The 24,218-nt window shown below is 34.8% G+C and overlaps 1 protein-coding gene across 12 annotated transcripts in view; it reads left to right on the top strand.

The window, feature by feature from the left end:
- Nucleotides 1–24,218, top strand: part of CNTN5 (contactin 5) — a 1,337,937-nt gene that overhangs the window by 873,506 nt on the left and 440,213 nt on the right. For all 12 annotated transcript variants that reach the window (XM_017017926.2, NM_014361.4, XM_011542871.2 and 9 more), the window contains one exon: nucleotides 21,600–21,695. In XM_017017926.2, coding sequence (XP_016873415.1) covers nucleotides 21,600–21,695 — 96 coding nt within the window. The remainder of the gene's footprint in view (nucleotides 1–21,599; nucleotides 21,696–24,218) is intronic.

Here is a 24,218-nt window from a genome sequence, read left to right on the forward strand (position 1 = left end):
AAAAATCTAACTACAACTGAAAAAAAAAAATTCCCAGTATATTATGACAGGTACCAGCAGCAAAAAAAAAAAAAACCAAAAAACAAAAAACAAAAACAAAAACAAAAAAAACAAAACCAAGCAAAACAAACAAACAAAAAAACCATGAATTCACAGCAGTTAGATCAATAAATTTTGAGAACTAAATATTTATAAACAGACAAAAATAGGGAAATGACTTTTGGTTAGCTGTTCCTTGGAAAGTTTTTTCACCTTACTAATAAAATATCAATGATTATGCAGAAAAACAAGTGCTAGCTATGATAATTTTGAAATCCAAAGTCAAATTGGAGAGGATTTATATAAAATGTAAGTTACGTGGTTTTGGATTTAGAAACATCTAAATTTTACCTTATGAAGAAGATTAGCTCTGCTTACTGAAAAAACATAGGAAGACATATTGTCCTTCCTCATGGCATACCATCACCATCAGTGCTACTGCCCAAAGTCACCAGAGTATTTTTCTTGACATGCCCCAAGCATTTACAATAATTTGTAGTTAGCACTTCCTATAAATATATAAGGCAGAAATCAGGTAGGCCTAGAAAAGGCACATCGCATTTGAATTATATAACCCCAGTGGATAAAGTGCTAAAGGTAGGGCATAAGGATATTAAGAACCTTGGTAGCATCAGATAATAGAATTGTGATTTTTGCTGCTCCCCATCAGTTCAGTGTCAGTACTAGGCATCCAAGAGGGGACAATGTCTCACCTTAGTCCAGCAGAGCTGTCCTAGATAAATGTCTGCTAGACCTGGGAATTTGAAAAGGGCTAGTCAATATTGACATTCCCTATAGTTAGTTACCATAGAAGAAGACTTGATCTGTACAGTAAGTGAAATGAAAACTTCTCATACCCTATCTGGTGGCAAATGTCAAATGAAGAGATATCTCCTCAAGAGACAGTTAAGAGGTTTCAGTTCAAGATGGCTGGCTAGACCCAGATAGTGCCATGCCTTTCTCATGGAAAGGAAACAAAATAACAAGTGAATACTAACACTTCAAGTGGATTATCTAAGAGATCACTTTGTGATTCACCAGGGAAGTGACAGGACCCACATAGAGCAGAGAGGAATGAAGCCATGAAGCTGAACATTAACCCACCCAGAACTGGTATGGAGCCGAGGAAAGCTCCCTAAGTTGGGAAAGTGAGTGGGGGAAGAGTGAGTGAGTAAGAGTCTCCCCTGGGGATCACACTTCTGCCATGGACTTTTGTAGTTCAGCTCTTGACTCCCTCGGGCTTCCAGAACAGCAGAGAGCTATGTGGAGTCTGTGCAGAGGCACTGCTCAAGCCCACATGGAACCAACCCCACAAGCTTTTGGTTTTCTAGCAGCCCGGTTCCAGCAGCCACTGCCCCACTGAGAAAGGAGACACAGCATTTTTCCGTGTCCCTAGAATAGATGGCGCATCCATAGTACTAAGAAGCAGCTAGACTCCATACTGCGTAAGTCCTTGCCTCTGCAGCTCCTTAGTAGGTGGGACTCACTGGCTTGGGTCCCCAGCACAGCCTCCCTGAATTTCCTGAACACTGCAGTCATGGCTCTGTTTCTCTGAGTGCATAACTCCCAGAGGTAGCTAACAGGCCCTTCACTATCACTGCTGCCTTCACTCCTCCTGTCCCCAAGCCAGGGAGGGAACAAGGAGGTGGGGCACATTTGTGGACCTCCAGTATGGATGTCATAGCTGACATATGGAGGAATAGTGGTAGGCTTGTGCCCCACAAGTCCCTGCCTTCACTGCTCTCTGCCAAACAGGGCTTGCTGCCTTTCGGCCCATAACACACTTACTCATCCCCTGGCTGATCACTGCGGTCATGGCTCTGTGTTCTGAGTACATACCTTCCAGAAGTAGCTGATAGGCCCTCTGTGATCACAGCTGCTGCTGTCTCTGCACATGCTGCTCCCAGATTGAGAGAGACTGAAGAGATGGGTCACTTTCATGTACCTCCAGCATGGGACTCCATAGCTGAGATACAGAGGAGTAGCAGGCACGTGATGTACCCCACAACTTCCCACCTCTGTTGTTCCCTGCCAAACAGAACTCACTGACTTCCAATCTCCAATGCAGCCTTTCCACCCCTGCCTGATCCCTACAATCATGGGTTATTCCTCTAAGAGCCCAGTTTCCTGAGGCCAGCAACAAATATTCACAATTGTTGCTTCCATTGATTCTGCCCCTACCACCCCCAGGCCAGTTCAGGAGCAAGAAGGCTTCTCACCTTTGCATGCTTCAAACAATGAAATTTAGAACTCCTTGTGTGGGAGGGAGGTTCAAGCACACAACATGCCCCATAGCTGTCAGCTGCCACTGTCCCAGCTGAGGGTTCCTGCTCTTCCAATGAAGGGCCCACGTCACAGCTGCCCTGCCCCAGCCTGAATATTTAAGCTTTGACCCAGAGCCCTGTTAAAAACATAAACCCCACAGGCCTCTGATATTCCCTTGGGATCCCACCACCTAAGCATTCTGCCTGCCCTGACCTGAAAGTTCTGCCAGTGACCCGGGTACCAGCCCATCCCTCCCCATCATAGCGAGCATCTGAACTAGACTAGACCAAGTGGAAGAAAGAACTTCAATGCGTAAAAACTGTTCTTTTGAACTAGCCCAGTCAGTTGCAAATAAAGAAAAAAATTTAAAAAACAAAACCTTTGAGAAATAAGAGATTATGTAATGTAACTAAACCTACAAGTTATTGGAATTCCTAAGAGAGAAAAAGAAAAAGTAAACAACCTGGAAAACATTTGAGAGGATAAATAATTAAAAAATATTGCTAGAGGTAGATATTCGGATATGAGGAAACCAGAGAACACCTATGAGATAATATACAAGATAAACATTACTGAGGCATTTGGTTACTAGACTATCCAAGGTTGGTGCTAAAGAAAAAATGTTAAAGGCGGCTAGAGAAAAGGTTCAAATCATCTACAAAGGAAAACCAATCAGACTAACAGTGGACTTCTCAGCAGAGACCTTACAAGCCAAAAGAGGTTGGTGTTGTATTTTTAGCCTCCTTTAAAAAAAAAATGTCAGCTAAGAATTTTATATTACTACAAACTAAGCTTCATAAATGAAGGAGAAATACTCTTTCCCAGACAAGCAATTACTGAGACAATTTGTCACCACTAGACCAGTCCTACAAGAAATGCTCAAAGGAATTCTAAATGTGGAAACTAAAGGATGATACTTGGCATCAGAAAATGACAGATATATACAGAACTCACAGACCCTATAAAGCAACTGCGTAATTAAAACTCCAAAACAACTAGCTAACAACACTATGTCAGGAATAAAAACTTACATATCAATATTAATCTTGAATCTAAATGACCTACATACCCCACTTAAAACATGTAGTGGCAAATTGGATAAATAAATAAGATCTAATGATCTGCTGTCTTCAGGAGACCTATCTCACATGTAATGACATCCATAGGCTCAAAGTAAATGGTTGGAGAAATATCTGTCACACAAATTGAAAACAAGAAAAAGCAGGTTGAACAACAGCATCAAGTCAGAAATCAAAATAAAAAGTTTAATGAAAATAGCAACATAACATACAAAACCTCCTGAATACAGTGAAGGCATTGCTAAGAGGAAATTTTATAGCATTAAATGCCTACATAAAAAATAGAAAAATCTTCAGCTGGAAATGTAATGCTGCATCTCAAAGAATAAGAAAAACAAGAACAAATCAAACCTAAATGTAGCAGAAGAAAAAATACTAGAGCAGAACTAAATGAGTTTGAGGCCAAAAAATGATACAAAGGATCAATGAAATAAAAGGTTGGTTCTTTGAAAGGATAAAGGAAATTGATAGAATGCTAGCTAGCCTAAGGAAAAAAAAGAGAGAAGATTCAAATAAGTACAATTGGAAATGATTAAGGTGACATCACAACTGATACCAGAAAAACAAAAAAAGATCATCAGAGACTAGTATGATCACCTTGATGTACACAAACTAGAAAACCTGAAGACGTAAGATAAATAGCATAGTTCCTGCTTCAATAAGCTCACTTATTCATTCACTCAATCACTGCTTCTTTCAACAAATATAAATTAAATGCCTATTATATTCTAGACACAGGCACTGATGATACAGCAGTGAGAAACAATGAATTTGCCTTTTGAAGAACACTAATTGTTTTCATTCATTTTGTTATTTAAAGAATATTCCTAGAAATTATGTATTTTCATTGTGTGGTGACTACCGTGATTTTTTTTTCATTTTACAATTTCTGCTTTATGAAATCTTACTACTTTTTATCTTTATTCTAATGATTCTCTGAGTTTAGCAGATATAGAAACATAACATTCCCAAGTAATGTTAAATTTATATCTCTTTTAAACAATTTTATATCCTGTATTTTTCTCATTTCACCTATTCTACTGAATTACTTAGAATTTCAAGATCAACGTAAAGTTGCTTCTTTAGTGGAAATGCCTCTAATGTTTCTCTATTAAGTATAATATTTGTTTCAAGTTAGATAGAATTAATGAAACTAAGCTGTTGAGATCTTAATTTGGTTCTCAGCTTGAACATTATTAGCGTATGGAAGTGCTACTGACTTTTGTATGTTGATTTTTGTATCCTGAGACTTTACTGAAGTCACTAATCAGGTCTAGGAATCTTCTAGAAGAGTCTTTAGGGTTTTCTAGGTAAACAATCATATCTTCAGTGAACAGAGATAATTTGACATCCTTTTTCCCAATTTGGATGCCTTTTATTTCTTTCTCTTACGTGATAGCTCTGTTTGGGACTTCCAGTATTATATTGAATAGAATTAGTTAAAGTAGCCATCCTTGTCTTTTCCCAGTTCTTAGTGAAAATGGTTTCAACTTTTCCCTGTTCAATCTGATGTTGCCTGTAGTTTGTCATGCATGGCTCTTATTATTTTGAAGTATGTTCCATCTATGCTAGTTTGTTGAGGGTATTTATTATGAAGAGATGTTGGATTTTATCCAGTACTGTTTTTTGCATCTATTGAGATGATCATATAGTTTTCATTCTTATATCTGTTTATGTGGTGGATCATGTTTATTGATTTATGTATATTGAGCCATCCTTGCATCCCTTGAGCGAAGCACATTTGATCATGGCAAATTATCTTTATGATGTATTGTTGGATTCAGTTTGCTAGTGTTTTGTTGAGGAGTTTTGCATTGATGTTAATCAGAAATATTGACCTATAATTCCTTTTTTATTGTCATTTTGTCCTTCCCTGATTTTGGTATCATGGTGATACAGGATTTGTAGAGTGAGTTAGGAAGACATTCCTTCTCCTTGATTTTTTGGAATAGTTTTAGTAAGGTTGGTACCGGCTTTTCTTTGTACATCTGGTAAAATTTGGCTTTGAATTCATGTGGTACTAGGCTTTCTTTTTGTTAGGAGATTTTTTCTTATTACTGATTCAATTTCATTACTCATTGTTGGTCTATTCAGGGTTTCTATTTCTTCCTAGTTCAATCCTGGAAGTTTGTATGTTTACAGGACTTTATCCATTTCCTCTAGGTGTTCTAGCTTGCGTTCATAAAGGTCATCATACTAGTCTCTGTATCGGTTGTGATGTCATCTTGATCATTTCTGATTCTACTTATTTGAGTCTTCTCTCTTTTTTTTTCTTAGCCCAACTAGCGTTCTATGAATTTTCTTTATCCTTTCAAAGAACCAAACTTTTACTTCATTAATTCTTTTTATCTTTTTTTTTTTGGCCTCAACCTCATTTAGTTCTGCTGTAATATTTGTTACTTTTTTCTGCTACCTTTCATTTGTTCTTGTTTTTCTAGTTCTTTGAGATGCACCACTAGGTTTCTAATTAAAAATCTTATATTTTTTGTGTTTACTGATTTATGTATATTGAGCCATCCTTGCATCTCTGGAAAAAAAACACATTTGATCATGGTGGATTATCTTTTTGATGTATTTCTGGATTCAGTTTGATAGTATTTTGTTGAAGATTTAATGCTATAAACTTTAATGCTATAAACATTCCTCTTACCATTGCCTTTGCTGTATCCCAGAGGTTTTTGTATGTTACATTTCTACTTTCATTCATTAATTTTTTTTTTATTTCTGACTTGATGTTGTTGTTTAACATGATCTTTTTTGTTTTCAATTTATGTAATAGATATTTCTACAACCCTTTACTTTGAACCTATGGATGTCATTACATGCAATGTGGGTATCTTGAAGAGGTCAAATGATTAGATCTTATTTATTTATCCAATTTGCCACTATATGTTTTAAGTGGGGTATTTAGGTTATTTACATTCAAGATTGATATTGATACATGATGTTTTGTTCCTGACATAGTGTTGTTAGCTAGTTGTTTTGGAGTTTCAAATAATTTATTTACATCTTAATACTCCCTTTTTTTCATCACTCTGTTTCCCAGCTAGCCTCATACATGTCTCTAAAGCTTTATATGTTACTATATCTTTATGGTCAAAAGATCTCTACAGTGATTCAGAATGTCGGCTCTGGCATCAGACATCCTACTTGGAATTTTGCCTCTATTATTTACTAATTGTGTAACATTGGGCAAGGTACATAGCTTCTCTGAGCTTCAGTTTCTCACAAAAGTGTCTAACTAAAAGGATATTTTAATAAGAAATGAATTAAAACACACATATATAAATATTCATTGTATAGTGTGTGGCAGGTAGTGAGTATTCAGTAAATGGTAGCTATCATCATCACCATCTTGTCTCCATTGTCAATACTTTTTAAATGTTTTGGGTGAGATGACATTAGAACTATAAACTGGTAAGATTTTCTGAGAACTTCTTTTGGTCATACATTTTCTATTTTTTTTTTCTTGAAATGGAGTCTCACTTTGTTGGTCAGGCTGGAGTGCAGCGGCACGATCTTGGCTCACTGCCACCTCTGCCTACTGGGTTCAAATGGTTCTCCCACCTCAGTCTCTCAAGTAGCTAGGATTACAGGTGTGCACCACCATGCCCTGCTAATTTTTTGTGTATTTTTAATAGAGGTGGGTTTCACCATGGTGACCAGGCTAGTCTCGAACTCCTGACCTCAAGTGACCTGCCCACTTTGGCCTCCCAAAGTGCTGTGATTACAGGCACGAGCCACCATGCCTGACCTGGTCATACATTTTCTATTCATGAGCATAGAATGGTTTATTTTTTTCTAAATCTAAATTCAGCTCACCACTGAGATTTATTCATTCAGGAATATCTATTAAGTACCTAATATGGTGCTTGGCACATATGCATGCAATTAATATTAGTTTAATAAAGGAAAAAGCTGTGAATTAAAAAAGAAAACTGAACTGTTATTTGGTATACATGGTGCTAGATGCTGGATACAAGGATACATATGCTACCTTTTTATGTTATTTAATAATGGCTGTCATTTATTAAGGGTTCAGTGTAAGTTAAGGTCTGTTTTTGGATAAAATGCAAGCGTTATCCCCTGACAATCATTTTGAGGTAGGTATTGTTATTCCTGTTACACAAGTAAGGAAATTGAGGTTTATCTAAGGTTACATGGTTAATAAGTGGAAGAGATGTAATTCAAATCCATGTCTTTCTGATTCTAGAGGTCAAGCTTTTATACATTGCAGATGTGTAAATAACTTGACCTCCCACCACAATGACATGAACTGGCAATACGGAAAAGTCATTGACTTTCTAATAGTAGAAGATTAGTAACCTTTTCTACTCCTGCTAATTTTAGTGAACCAGAGCGTGGATCTACTCCTCTGTTTTTGTACAGCCCGCAAGCTAAGGAGTTTTTTTTTTTTTTTTTAACATTTTTAAATGTTTGAAAAATCCGAAAGAATAACACTTCATCACATGTTAAAATCATATAACAGTACCTACATTATACCCTCAATTTTGCCTTTTGCCTTGCAAAGCTTCAAGTATTTACTAAGTGACCCTTTCTAGAAAACATCTGCCTAACCTTGAACTAGACTATTTGGGATGCCCTTCAGTAATGTGAGTAATGCTTATGCCATAGTTGATTTACAGAAAAAAATGTATCACTAGTAAATAGACATATTAGTCCTACACAGTTTCTGGAACTGTTTTCTTACACTTCAGTGCAAAAGAGCTAGAGCAACAACAAAACAGAAGCAAAAATCAAAAGACTACTAGTACATTGGGCTGATGCTTCATGTAAAAATGAGATTCATTCTCTCAAGAATTAATTTATATAATTAATGAAAAATTCCACACAAAAGTAACCTGTTAAAAATAAATGATTTTAAATACCCTTTTAAATGTGCAGACAATAAACTGAATCCTTCCTTAAACTTGAGTATTACCCAAAGATTATTTTACATACTAGTTGAGCCTAAATGAAGATCACAAATTAAAACTTTCTGAAATAATTAAAAGATAGGAAAGAAAGAATTGGGCCAAGGACGGGGAGCAGATTTGCTTTAAGGCAAGGCATGAAGTTTTTAGCCAAGATGTAAGATAAGTTGAAAATTGATCACTAGTCAACTGAGTTATGAAATGAAACAGCTTCCAACGATTTTTTAAATTAAACATGGTATAAATTATTCAGATAGAACTGTTGAGTTTATAGCTTATAAGAGAAAAAATGCAAATCTATGTTACTTGATTAAACTATACAACAGCAAATGAGCTAAGGGAATCAAGAAAGCAAGCAATTTACTTCTTCAGGTACTTGATCAGGAGGCCAGGACTATTGTGAGTGCTCTGCAATACACGAATGAAGTTGAAAACAAATTTGGCAGAGCAAAACACTCAAGCACACATATGCGAACAGCATAAGAATTCCTGTAAAGGGCTGTTTAGATTTTTACTTTGGTTATGGTATAACCATAACCAAAACCGTAACCATAGTATAATCATGGTTATACCATAACCAAACTAAAAATTCAAAACAGTCCTTTACAGGAATTCTTATGCAGTTTGGGACTGGATTGGATTTGCAAAGGGAAAAAAAAACTATTTCTTTATGAAAATGCAGTTATCAGGTTGAAAAGCATAATGTTATACTCACAGTCAAACTGTCTTAAAAATCTACTCACCAGTTAATTATGTTTTTCTCATTGGATATGTGGAAAAGAAATAACTGTGTCATCTAGAGGGGCTGTTCTAAGTAGAGTCTAGTGGAGGCAAAAATTGCCTGAGGAGTTGAAAGAAACATAGCAGAGGGAAATTTCTAGTAGATAATAACTGCCATCACCCTTGGTCAGAGGAACACCGTTAGCTTTAAAACTATGGTAGTTTCCAAGAAACTCTAAATATAATTTTTTTAGAGAGAATATTTTCAAACTATTCATCTGACAAAGGATTAATATCCAGAATATCCAAGGAACTGAAATAACTCAATAGCAGAAAAACAAATAATCTGATTTACAAATGGGCAAATGAGCTGAATAGATACCTATCAAAACAAGACATGCAAATGGGCACCAGATAAAAGTATTCAACATCATAATCATCAGGGAAATTCAAATCAGACCACAATGAGACATCATGTCATCCCAGTTAGAATGGCTGTTATAAAAAAGGCAAATATAACAGATGCTGGTGAGGATGTAGAGAAAGGGGAACTCTTTTTAATGATATTTTTGTTTTCTTTTATTGCTTGCAAATATTGTATATAGTTCTATCATCATATATAGATAATTTTGTATCTTATATATGCTTTTTATTATACGTTAAGTTCTTGAATACATGTACAGAATGTGCAGGTTTGTAACATAGGTATACACTTGCTATGGTGGTTTCCTGCACCCATCAACTCATCATCTACATTAGGTATTTCTCCTAATGCTATCGCTCCCCTAGCACCCAACCCCCCTCCCCAAGCCCGGACAGGTCCCAGTGTGTGATGTTCCCCTCCCCGTGTCCGTGTGTTCTCATTGTTCAACTTCCACTTACGAGTGAGAACCTGTGGTGTTTGGTTTTCTGTTCCTGTGTTAGTTTGCTGAGAGTGATGGTTTCCAGCTTCATCCATGTCCCTGCAAAGGACATGAACTCATCCTTTTTTACGGCTGCATAGTATTCCATGGGGTATATGTGCCACATTTTCTGTATCCAGTCTATCATTGATGGGCATTTGAGCTAGTTCCAAGTCTTTGCTACTGTGAATAGTGCTGCAGTAAACATACATGTACATGTGTCTTTATAGTAGAATGATATATAATCCTTTTGGTATATACCCAGTAATGCGATTGCTGGGTCAAATGGTATTTCTGGTTCTAGATCCCTCAGGAATTGCCACACTGTCTTCCACAATGGTTGAACTAATTTACACTCCCACCAACAGTGTAAAAGCATTCCAATTTCTCCACATCCTCTGTAGCACCTGTTGTTTCCTGACCTTTTAGTGATTGCCATTCTAAATGGCATGAGATGGTATCTCTTTGTGGTTTTGATTTGCGTTTCTCTAATGACCAGCAATGATGAGATTTTCTTCATATGTTTGTCGGCTGCATAAATGTCTTCTTTTGCAAAGTGTCTGTGCATATCCTTCACCCACTTTTTGATGGGTTTGTCTGTTCTTTTCTTGTAAATTAGTTTAAGTTCTTTGTAGATTCTTGATGTTGGCCCTTTATCAGACAGATAGATTGCAAAAATATCCCTTTCTGTAGGTTGTCTGTTCAGTCTGATGATAGTTTCTTTTGCTGTGCAGAAGCTCTTTAGTTTAATTAGATCTCATTTGTCAATTTTGGCTTTTGTTGTCATTGCTTTTGGTGTTTTAGTCATGAAGTCTTTGCCCATGCCTATGTCCCGAATGGTATTGCCTAGGTTTTCTTCAAGGGTTTTTGTGGTTTTAGGTCTTACGTTTAAGTCTTTAATCCAACTTGAGTTAATTTTTGTATAAGGTGTAAGGAAGGGGTCCAGTTTCAGTTTTCTGCATATGGCTAGCCAGTTTTGCAAATAGCGTTTATTAAATAGAAAATTCTTTCCCCATGGCTTGTTTTTGTCAGGTTTCTCAAAGACCAGATGGTTGTAGATGTGTGGCATTATAATTGAGGCCTCTGTTGTGTTCCACTGGTCTATATATCCGTTTTGGTACCAGTACCATGCTGTTTTGGTTACTGTAGCCTTGTAGTATAGTTTAAAGTAGGGTAGCATGATGCCTCCAGCTTTGTTCTTTTTTCTTAGGATTGTCTTTGCTGTACGGGCTCTTTTTTGGTTCCATATGAAATTTAAAGTAATTTTTTCTAAATGTGTGAAGAAAGTTAATGGTATCTTGATGGGGATATCATTGAATCTACACATTACTTTGGGCACTATGGCCATTTTCATGATATTGATTCTTCCTATCCATGAGCATGGACGCCTTTTCCATTTGTTTGTGTCCTCTGTTATTTCCTTGAGCAGTAGTTTGCAGTTTTCCTTGAAACGGTCCTTCACATCCCTTGTGAGATATGTTCCTAGGTATTTTATTCTCTTTGTAGCAATCGTGAATGGAAGTTCACTCATCATTTGGCTCTCTGTTTGTCTGTTATTGGTGTATAGGAATGCTTGTGATTTTTGCACATTGATTTTGTATCCTGAGAGTTTGCTGAAGTTGCTTATTAAGGAGATTTTGGGCTGAGACGATAGGGTTTGCTATATATACAGTCGTGTCTCCTGCAAACAGAGACAATTTGACTTCCTCTCTGCCTATTCGAATGCTCTTTATTTCTTCCTCATGCCTGATTGCCCTCTCTAGAACTTCCAATATCATGTTGAATAGGAGTGGTGAGAGAGGGCATCCTTGTCTTGTGCCGGTTTTCAAAGGGAATGCTTCCACCTTTTGCCCATTCAGTATGATACTGGCTGTGGGTTTTTCATAAATAGCTCTTATTATTTTGAGATAAGTTCCATCAGTACCTAGCTTATTGAGAGTTTTTAGCATGAAGGGGTGGGGTGTTGAATTTTGTTGAAGGTCGTTTTTGCATCTATTGAGGTAATCATGTGGTTTTTGTCACTAGTTCTGTTTATGTGATGGATTATGTTTATTGATTTGCATATGTTGAACCAGCCTTGAATACCAGGGATGAAGCTGATCTGATAAGCTGGTGGTGGATAAGCTTTTTGATGTGCTGCTGGATTTGGTTTGCCAATGTTTTATTGAGGATTTCCACATTGATGTTCATTAGGAATATTGGGCTGAAATTTCTTTTTTTGTTGTGTCTCTACCAGGTTTTGGTATCAGGATGATGCTGCCCTCATAAAATGAGTTAGAGAGGAGTCCCTCTTTTCTACTTTTTGGAATAGTTTCAGAAGGAATGGTACCAGCTCCTCTTTGTACCACTGGTAGAATTCGGCTGTGAATCCATCTGATCCTGGGCTTTTTTTTGGTTGGTAGGCTATTAATTACTGCCTCAATTTCAGAGTTTGTTACTGGTCTATTCAGAGGTTTGACTTCTTTCTTCTTTAGTCTTGGAAGGGTGTATATGTCCAGATTTTCTAGTTTATTTGCATAGAGGTGTTTATAGTATTCTCTGATGGTAGTTTGTATTTCTGTGGGATCAGTGGTGATATCCACTTTGCCATTTTTTATTGTGTCTATTTGATTCTTCTCTCTTTTCTTCTTTATTAATCTGGCTAGTGGTCTATTTTGTTAATCTTTTCAAAAAAACAGCTCCTAGATTCATTGAGGTTTTTGAAGGGTTTTTTGTGTCTGTATCTCCTTCAGTTCTGTTCTGATGTTAGTTATTTCTTGTCTTCTGCTAGCTTTTGAATTTGTTTGCTTTTGCTTCTCTAGTTCTTTTAATTGTGATGTTAGAGTGTCAACTTTAGATCTTTCCAGCTTTCTCCTGTGGGCATTTAGTGATATTGATAGAAATAAATTTGATTTTTAACATTAGGCAGAGTATCCTTGAATTCATACAATATAGAAGAGTAGGCATTTAGGTATAGTGCTACTTATGCTACAGCTCTTCAAACTGCAGAGCACCGTCAGGAGGTTGGGGTGGGTATTTTTACATTATAGTCTTTTCTATATTCTTCAAATAAGGAACAAAACTATGTTGTCCAGTTGCCTATTATTTTCCAAAAAGTGTATCCTGGAATCTTAGAATAATCCCCTTTATTGTTACGTCTTGTAATACAAAGATTGGGGCTGTATACATATATTATTAAAAATATTTTTACTTTATTTAAAAATATATCTTTTATTATATGTCAAACACTATAAAAGGCTTTAAAATGTAATTAATTATGATGTGAATATAAAGTCTTCTAATGTATAATTTAATAGATATATATGACACATTTTCTCAACTGTAATGGAAGAATATTCATTTCAGCAACTTTTTTCTATGTTAGGTTTCTGAGATAAATCATGCTAAAATTACAGAAAGTTGTAAAGTTGTAAATAAGTGGGATGAATTTTTATACTGATAACATTGTTTTGCTCTTAGAGTATCAAATCAATTATCAAAATATAACATATTTTACTTGCTATTCATTGTAATAATGGGTATTAGGAAAATTCTTTCATAAATGTGAACCTACCCATTGAACTAAGTTCGAAATTATAGGTAATATAAAATTACACGTTGAAAATTGTTCTGAACTGACAGTCATAGGCTGTGAGTTAAAATCATGAAGTTTTTAGCATCTAGAGATGTAGTCCCAGTGTGAAAAACTATCTTGCTTCAGGCTAAATCTGGCTATACAAGTGTTTTTGTTTTTTTACACTTGCAGTGTAAGAGCAGAATAGGCAGATAGTCCAATTTAACAAAGGCTGAAGTTGTGCCAGGGGAATAAAATGAAGGGAGAAAGGGGTAAGGAGTCATAGTAGTAGGCAAGAAAGTAATTATATAAGGAAATATTATGAAATAACTGAAGAGGGTAGTTAAGCGTGAAAGCTTGAGAGACAATTTAATACATCTGCAAGTTATAAGAATTGCTATACTAAACGATTTTCTGGTTTTACTATGACATCCTTTTCTCATCATAATGGATTTGTAGTACTCAAACTCTCTGTGTATGTTGTATTTATCCTTTCACATTTTTCTTTTTAATGCTTAGCTTTAAAATTTCCTAAGATTTTTAGTCAATTAAGACTGATCTGAATTTGGAAAAAAATGAACTTAGAAGTAAACAAATTAGGATTATTATATAATTGTTTATGTAGATGTTAGAAATTTTATCAAATGTATAAAACCTCTGCCAGAGTTCATAGACTATATTCACATTAAACACACTGATATACAACTTTTTCATTGTAGATTAGTTATCATTTGTATTATTCAGTGTTGAAGTAGCTTTTTGTAACACATGAAATACAGGAGAAAAGACCTAAGATCAAAAATATTTTTATCACATTCTGTGGACAGTTTATCATTTCACAAAAGCATTTGCAATTTACTGTTTCACTTATGATGTAATTAAAAGTGTCTTTTTCAAGGGAAGCATATGCTGGTTTTCTTTGGTTTCTTTTTTATAATCCCTTTGGAGGACTGATTAATGTCTGATAATATGTAAAGTGAAAATGGCAAGCCATAGCAAGAGATTACTCATCTGACCTGTTATATATAACCAGAGAAAAAACGGGGCTAATGAAAGTTTCATTACAATTTGTCATTATCTTTACAGATTTTCCTTCCTCTTTCTCCAGCTGAATCTTAATTCAATTCTTATCTTCATATAATGGATGTTAGTATATTTTTTGAGATACCTATAATTAGCTCAACTGATATTTTGGAGAGACAGTTTTTATTAAAAGTTAACATTTCCTAAAGGTGATATGTTGTCCCATTCATAGGTGACTGATAACAAATATTTAAAAGAATTATAGCATTATCAAATCAAAACCACAATGAGATACCATCTCACACCAGTTAGAATGGTGATCATTAAAAAATCAGGAAACAACAGGTGCTGGAGAGGATGTGGAGAAATAGGAACACTTTTACACTGTTGGTGGGACTGTAAACCACTTCAACCATTGTGGAAGTCAGTGTGGCGATTCCTCAGGGATCTAGAAGTAGAAATACCATTTGACTCAACCATCCCATTACTGGGTATATACCCAAAGGATTATAAAACATGCTGCTCTAAAGACATATACACACGTTATGTTTATTGAGGCACTATTCACAATAGCAAAGACTTGGAACCAAGCCAAATGTCCAACAATGATAGACTGGATTAAGAAAATGTGGCACATATAAACCATGGAATACTATGCAGCCATAAAAAGTATGAGTTCATGTCCTTTGTAAGGACATGGATGAAGCTGGAAGCCATCATTCTCAGCAAACTATCACAAGGACAAAAAACGAAACATCGCATGTTCTCACTCATAGGTGGGAATTGAACAATGAGAACACATGGACACAGGAAGGGGAACATCACACACCGGGGCCTGTTGTGGGGTGGGGGGAGAGGGGAGGGATAGCATTAGGAGATATACCTAATATTAAATGACGAGTTACTGGGTGCAGCACACCAACATGGCACATGTATACATATGTAACAAACCTGCACGTTGTGCACATGTACCCTAAAACTTAAAGTATAATAATAATAAAAAAAGAATTGTAGCATTATATCATGTGGTGTAATAGGAAAGTATTTAATCAAATAATTTTATTGATTAAAAACATTGTAAACCAAGAGTATCATAATAGCTCTAGATTTTTAAATGCTAATTTCAAAGCTGAATTAGTCACTTTGAAAACTCAAATCTTTTCTGCTGTGAGTTCTTATTCTTGTTACCTAATTTTAGTGAATGTCAGTGTCCTAATCATAAATGGACATAATAAGCCCTCCCATATCTGTTTACAAGTTGATCACAGACCCACAAGTTTACATTTGCCAATAAAATACCAAAAACCTTCATTTTTCTATGGCTTTTCTGTCAAGGTACCATTCAACACTCACATTTTTATTTTAAGAACTATTATTAAGAATCTTATTTGCTCTAGAGTGTGTTATGGTAGCCATTCTGTGCAGACAAATGACTATGTATTAGAGAATGCTAATTTAATTTTTTTCTCAAAACATGTGTAAGAACTGCTTTTTCTATTCTTCCTCAGAAACTGGTCTTTAATAAGATGTCCTTATTGAAGATTATTTTAAAATTCCTAAAATTAGTGTGGTTTAACTTCCAAACATTGAATTGCTTTTGTCCTGGTATAGTTTTTAAAACTTTAGAATCAATCACATTGACTTTGATTTGCCAACTCTATTAAATATATGACTGCAGTGAATTTTTTACTTGCTTTTCACATAGAAAAACAGGAATTAGTATCTACTTCCAGGAAGCCTGGCATAGAGTAGGTATGTTAGTAGCTAGTGTAACTATTTTCATTCATTTCCTTTTCTCTCTTTTCTCTTTTCTAAACATTTAGAAGGTCAAAAATAGTTTGTGAATGAAGTTTGACTAATTTTTATTATAGGGTATTTGCATGGAATGCAAAAAAATTTACAGTGACCTGAATAATCCTGATGATAGTAACAGGAACAATGAATACAGCCAATGGAAGACTTCAATATGCAATCACTTTGCAAGTGAGGCAGCAAATACCAAGTCAGTATTACAAAACTTGTCCGTTGTTTTTACAGAAGTCATAGAAATTAAAGTTGAAGGCCTCTCATGTTGAGAAGCCAGCTCAGTTCCTTAATCTTTCATATAATATATATGACACTCAAATGTAATTAATGAAACTTTATAAAATTTGTCTCTGACACTTAGTCTAATATAATTTGCCTTTTCAATGGTCTTTTTGTAAAAAGTCAAAATCTCAATTTTATAAAAAATTTTAAAATTTGCATTAAATCGTATCTGTGTTCACAGCACTTTTAGAGAATTAATTGAGAATCCTTGGAGCACTGATAGTCTAAAACTCATTAGGGCCACCTACAGGATAAATGTATAGCCACGAATACCTCAGTATTGGCACTCCATTCCTCTTCCTTTTTCCAAACACACCTCCTATAAGCTCAACATTGCCACTTATTCAGAACAGACTTAAGACTGGGAAACATAAGTCCAGGAGACAAATCAACCACAGCGTTTTACTTCTAATTGTATAGCTTTTATTCTCCTGTCTTGAGCCTTTTCCTCACTCCTCCCCAATAACTAAACCAAGCTATTATATTTAACATACGTAAGATACAAGATCAGTGTCCAGAATCTCTTATGTACTATCTCTTTTGATAGTTTCAGGTACTCTATTTCCCTCCAACACTTTAAAATAATGCTTTTTAGGGAATAATTTTTGAAATATTTTTCAGGTGTTTGTGTGTGGGTACATATAGCTCACATTCTACCTACTCAACATGTCTCAGGAGGTTAAAAAAAAAAAAAAGAAAAATAACTTTCTGAGTAGTTTGCCAAGTTTCTCTGCCAACTCTATTACCACGTGTTATCTTTATGAAGTCTATGAAGTCTTTCAGGAGAAATCCCCTTAGGATTGGGTATATCTCTACCTTGTTTTGGCTCCTCTTAAGTTTAGAGTCAAATTTGTAGCCAACTTCCAATAATTTACAACAATATATAGTGTATATTCCTAAATACTTGTTTTGCCCTGCAGCCTTCTCACCATGCTTATTTTGTCTTCACCTAGAATTCCTCAACTATTGTTTTATTTGTTTACTTATTATTATTGAGGCAGATACATATTTTAAGCTACCTCAAATACTTTGTGGAACAATACAGGGATGAAAAGAGTAACTGAAGAATGTCAAGAAGGAAGGAAGACAAGGCAAAAAGGAAGAGGAAGAGGAAGGAAGGGAGGGAAAGGGAAGAAAAAAGGAAGGAAATAAAGGAAAAATCTAAAGTCTGTGTGTATGTGTGTTCATGTATTAATAGCTCCCATTTAGAGAAATAGTGTGAAGTGCTACATGGTAAATGTTCATGGTATGTTTTTGGTCACTCATGAGTGTGGCTGTGACAAGCTGAGCTTTGAGGATTTGGGCTTATATACCTATTTGGTGACCCAGACTCCTGTGAGCTATGAAAAGTTGGCCCAAGTAGGTATGATTAATTCATTTATATATGTATATCCTTTACAGTTTTTCTGCATAACCAGTACCTAACACAGTTTTTAATATATAGTATGCATTGAATAAATATTTGTTAAATAAATTCATAAAATGGTTCATTTTACATCTGATCAATATGGCTCAAATCTCATATCCCAAGTCTACACTCCATCATCTAAAGCTCTTAATAACATCTATTATTGTATGTTTTTCATAGTTTTTTTTTTTTTTCGTAGTTCTTCTAGGATGAATAGGTGCAGTAATTCTCCAAGCTACAGTTCTAGTTACAGCTCTTCTTTTAAACCCTGTGTGAGCTTCTTAACTCAGAAAAAGAAAGGTCAGAGCAAAGACAAAGTCTAGGGCCCTGTGACTTTTGATCACAAAATTTCTCATCTTGTTTCTTAAGTTGAGTATTTGTAAATGTGCCTTATAGTAAGTCCAGAAAGATATTTATTTCAGTGTGTAATTTGAACCTGAATTTTAGAGTCTTCGTATTGTGATTTTTATTTTTACTCCCTTTTATTCCTGTAAAGGTATAAAATAGAACACACGAACATGTATTTTTGACCTTGTGTAATTGCAATAAAACAATTCAAGCCAATATCTATAAAAGCACTTGGTCTTTTTTCCATTTATCTTCTTGGTACATGTAACGTGTCATCTATTAAAATAACATGATAGACACTGAACCTGCACATACATCCACCGAAGTATTTCAAAGTTCTCTGATTAAATACCTCCAAAGAAATTAACTCCTTTCTCTTCTTAGTGAGAGATGAACAAACAGTTAAATTTTCACTCAGGCTATTCAGTCTAACCACCATCCCCATCAACCAAGAATTTTTTTACATAAACCATTCTGCCTTAGATCAACCATCATCTTGCTTGGTACAGGGACCACTTTTACATTGTAGATAATAATGTTTCACTTTTCTTTATGGTAGGAAAGAGTTAAGTGAGAAATGTACATACCCCATGAAAGTACAGACTTCTTTTTAGTATTTATATGTCTTCAAGAAAGAAAAAAAAAATCTACTCACAATATAAAAAAATCTATTTATCTTTGGGCTTCTGGTGCTAAAGTTCCCAGGAAATAATGACACAGAGACAATTCTATGAGGAAATGTTGAATTTTGCTTGTATTAAAAGCTGGTACAAAATAAAGCAATTGGAGTGAAGTATCATCTTTTGGGTCATTGGGATCTCAAAACACAATTTAGGTCATAGTTATTCTATAATTTTCTTTTCTTTGTGTGTTTAATTTCTAGGGCATGCCTGTACTTCAATTCCTCAGAAATAGGCATTAATTTAGGACTGTTTTCTATTAATCTTGTAAATACAATAGGTTGATTTGAAATGTCACAAAAATAAGCATAATATAAACTTGTAGTAAATGGATTGAAATGGATATTTATGTTTTAGAGACCATTTTAAAAATTCAGTTAAAATAAATTGATATCCCAATGACCTTCCAGAATTTGTAGATTCGATGAAGATGAAAAGAGGAAAGTGAAACCACATAATCCCTAGAGATATTAAAATCAAGCATGGTGGCTTTCCCCTATAATCCCAGTACTTTGGGAAACAGAGGCCAGAGGATTGCTTGAGACCAGTGTTGGCAACATAGCGAGACTCTGTCTCTACGAAGAATTTGAAAAATTAGCTGAGTATATTGGCATGTATCTGTAGTCCCAGCTACTCGGGAGGCTGAGACTGGAGGATTTCTTGACCCCAGGATTTACAGACTGCAGTGAGTTATGATCACATCCTGCACTCCAGCCTGGGCAACAGAGGGAGGAGGCTCTCAAAATATACATTAAAGTCCTGCCACAACCACTGCCTAACTATCTTGTATTGTATTTCTAGGAGTAAAGTAAAAGGAAGTCAAATTAGAAATCTTGCCATGCTTTGATTTCATATTAAGATCATTTTTTGGAAAAAAAAGCCTCTAAGAATCAGTCCTTTTGAGTTTAAAGCCATGATTTGCATATATTTGTTTGTTTGTTACAGACAATCATGTGTATGTTGTATTATCTCATACATATGAAATTCAAAAAGAGACAAGCATAATATTTGGTAATAGAAATCAGAGCAGTAACCTTGTAGGTACATATATTTGAAAATGACTGCCTTGATTTTTACTGCTACTGAAGTTAGTGTATATATTTTTAAAGTAACAATCCCCCAGAAAAGTAGAACTAGAATTGCTCTTTTTCTTTTGTCCTGCTACTTTATGAAAAGCTTAACTGTTTATAAAGAAACATTGAATTTTGTATAAAATCTTAAACACATTCTGCAATAATGAATACTTCTCTGTTTCTTTATTTGGTGTCATGTCTTCACTACTTATTAGACCCCCATGATTTTGGATGTGTTTAAGAAGATTTGGTTATACATTCAGCAAAATAATTAGTAAATTCTTACCCATCTCAAAAATATAATGTATAGAATTTTTCTTAGATTGTTATAGACTAGTAATTTATCTCCTTCATATCCACTAGTGTATTTTCTTGAGTGTTCAGTTTATTTGTCAAATTAATATTAAATTTGAAGCTCTACCTTGTATTGCTACAAAGCATATTATTTTAGCATGAAATAATTAAAATATATTTTAAAAATCTATTTTACAATTTGTGCCTAATGGAAGAAATGGCAGAACATTTCTAAGAAGCATTTCTTATCATGGAAACATGATTTACAGACCCAGAATTCTGGGACAGTTTATTTATAAAAATATTGAACTCCTACCATTTGCAATAAAGTAGTCTAAAAGTTGTCTTATTGATCAACCTATCCCAGGAAAAAGGAAAGGAGCGTAAGTACTGAGATATAAATAGTTTAATAAGCAATAATAGAATTACAATTTAAATTACACATCATTCCCTTTTGGACCATTTTCTTTTTAGGAAAATCTTTTCAAATTGTGTAAATGCAACATAGTTTAAGGGAAGGCCATTGATCTCCAATACTATAATCCCTTTTACATAGAAGTGAATATTTCGTTAACTAATACTCCCAGACTAATCAAAATGGATGAGAGTAGTTAATTCACAGAGCCCATTCTAGGCTTTCATAAAATGAAAGTCACATAACTTTCTTATTCACATTTATAGAAAAAGAATGCTTTTTCTATTTTTACTATATTTTGTTAGAGCATACAAGCCTCTCTAATTTGGCATGCTCATGCTTGGTTTTACACATCATTCTTAGCCTGACATATAATGAAGAAGCCGGTGGGACACCAAGTCCTCTAACCAGTTCTGTTTCTCTTTTCACTATGAGAGAATGGGCGTTATTGGTAGTAGAAATATCACTACGTAGGAAATATTATAAAAAATGACTCTTTGTGTTAAAAATGCTATACTCCCTAGCATCTATACTGGCAACTTGAATGGACTGTAAATAAAAATAAAGAGTGTGGTTTTTCTATGGGTGGTATAGATTTATTTCCATTGTGGTATTTAAAATTAGATGATGTAGATATATGTTAAAGCCTTCTTGTCACTGATTAACAAACAAAAGACACCTTGTGAAGATAACGATAGAAAGTAAGTACAAGTTACAATCATAGCAATTCTTTACATTCTTTTCTGCCTTGGATCTAAATGTTTTATTATGTTGACAGATCTGGGAAATTTTAGTGGCCGGACAAGAAGTGCAGTCTCTGTGAGGGAAGGCCAGGGTGTCGTTCTGATGTGCTCTCCTCCGCCACATTCACCAGGTACAGTAGGATCTCATTCTTTGCTGCTGCTGCTGCTCTCTTTTGCTATGTGTTCATTCTTTTAGACAGTATATTGATGGGAGAACATTTCAGGTGAAATGTGCATGGTTTTCTTGACATCTATCAGAGTGCCAGATGAGTAATTCAAGATCACGTACTCTAAATATCATTAGACAGGATACTGAACTCCAATAAGATTGTTTTATTGCCATTCTAACTGTTAACTGTCACTGTTATGCCTCTGTCTTCCATCAGTGAAGAATATATTGCCTAGAGCACAAAGGAAGCGATAAACTGAGAGAATGAAAACTTTTCAAAATAGTTTGGAGTATCAGAGTTGAGTTAACTGAATACCAATATGCGTCTTGTTTCAAAAGATAAACTGGATACTTAGTTGTTTATGGTGCTCTTTGCCACACTGGAATTAGAACTTCTAAGAAATGCTTTTTTTGAGTTTCAAACAAAACTGCAATTTAGTTAGTACTTTTTGGCTCTTTGAGGTCTTGTTTGTAAAAGTCATGGTGAGTACTTTATGTGGCTTGAGGAAGCAGAAAACTAAGCTCTGCTCAGATTAATTATACGTCCTTTTGCAAGCTTACACCTAATTATATCTATTTTGTTTGAGTTTCATAATTTGAGATGAGTACTCCTTTGGAACTTAGTATAGCTTTACTATAAGTTAAGAGTGACCAGCATCAGTTAAAGAGAGAGAGAAAGAGAAAGAGCACAAGGAAGAACCAAGGAATGAAGGCCTTAATTAACAACTGGTAACAGAATTGAAGGTCTTGGTATGTCAGTAATTTTTTCTTCTTTAATTAGAGTGATGGCCATATTTGTTTCTAGGTTATATTATCAGGGTAGTAATGGAGCACAATTTGGCTCTACTGTACATATTTTTTTAATAACAAAATGGCCTACATTGATTTTCTTAAGACTTCTTTATCTTTATCTGATCCCCCTTCTATATTTTTAATCGAAAGTATGCTGCATATCAACAGGGACATATTTTTGAAAACACTTTTATTTGAAACTCAGATAATAATTACAATTAGGGTAATTATTGTTTGAGTTGTACCCCTCCAATTGTTGAGTTGTACCACTCCAATTCCTGTACACCAGTCCAGTTATTCTAATCTTTCTGTGAAAGGTTTGGGAAGTTTACATTAAACATATCTATTCTTGCCTGCATCTAAATCCAGATTTAGGTTCTTTCAAGACAACATCTGTTTTAATTTTTTTAATGGATAAGACAAAAATTTTTATTACATTTAGGGAAAGTGTATAGCATTAATATAAGTCATGTCTCATATTGGTTATTAAACAGATTTCATCCAAGGGGGTTATTAGTTGAATAATTGTTAGAGATTGCAGAAAAGGGGAAAAGAAGGGGAAGGAGAAAGAGAATATAACAGGCTTTATAGAGGATGACTGATCCATCACTAGACTGACAGGAGTTAACAACATAAAGTGACCCCTGTGGGAAAATAAGCAAGATTTTCTGAGATATGATCTTTATTTTAAGGCTGGGGAACGTGTATTTTTAAACAAAGTGAAATGGAAGAGGATAATATAGAAGTCAAAACTTCGGGATTACACATAAATTATCCAATTGGCAGAGAAAACTGTATACAGATTTCTGGTGGGAGAATATAGTACAATGAATTGCATATATGGTAAGATAAACATAAGATAAGAATAGGCACTAATAACTGATTAAGTAATAATGTGATCTCTGATTGAGATCAATATATGTAAATTAAATGACTGTTCAGTAATCGTGTTTTACATCCGAACTCATCTGCTTGACCAAGGCCAACTTGATATGTTATTACCACAGCTGCAGTCTCTCAATTGCCATATTTACAAGCTTCTTATTTTCTGAACAGCATCCACTGTCTTCTACTCACCCCTTTAGTACCCTGATTGCAGGAGTCCTTTCATGTCATGGAAATCTACAAATCATTGATCCTACCCTATTTTCATTCTACTCCACCTCCTTTGATTCTTACTTTTCTCCTTCAGTTATTATCATATTCTTTTATACAGCTTCAATTTTGTCATCTCTCTTTTGCTTTCGCACACTGACATTCCAGTTTGCAAAACCCTAATCACAATATAGATCCAACTCTTAGCCTACTTCACATATGAATCTATTCAGTTTAATATTACTGTTAAACAATCCCAAAAACCAAAGCACACATACAAAACAAATGAACAAAAAACCAGTTATACAGACTGCTGTCAATTTAAAATAAAAATGATGAACTTTACATCTTAATGTTAACTAGAATTTTTTTAAAAACCTATTATTTTTACTATACTTTTGTCAAATGTTTTATGTGTCTTCCCCAGTCTCACTCTCAGGTGATAAACATGCATCCTATTACGTTGTGAAAGAGAAAGCAATTAGAAAATAACCTCCACAAGCTCTCATCACCAAGTCACACACCAATTAGCATTTGTAGCCATACACTCTGACTTCCCAGTTTTTAGTATATATTATAGTATATAGTACAGTATATG

The sequence above is a fragment of the Homo sapiens genome, chromosome 11 (genome assembly GCF_000001405.40).
Source record: "Homo sapiens chromosome 11, GRCh38.p14 Primary Assembly".
In the NCBI taxonomy this organism is placed as follows: domain Eukaryota; kingdom Metazoa; phylum Chordata; class Mammalia; order Primates; family Hominidae; genus Homo; species Homo sapiens.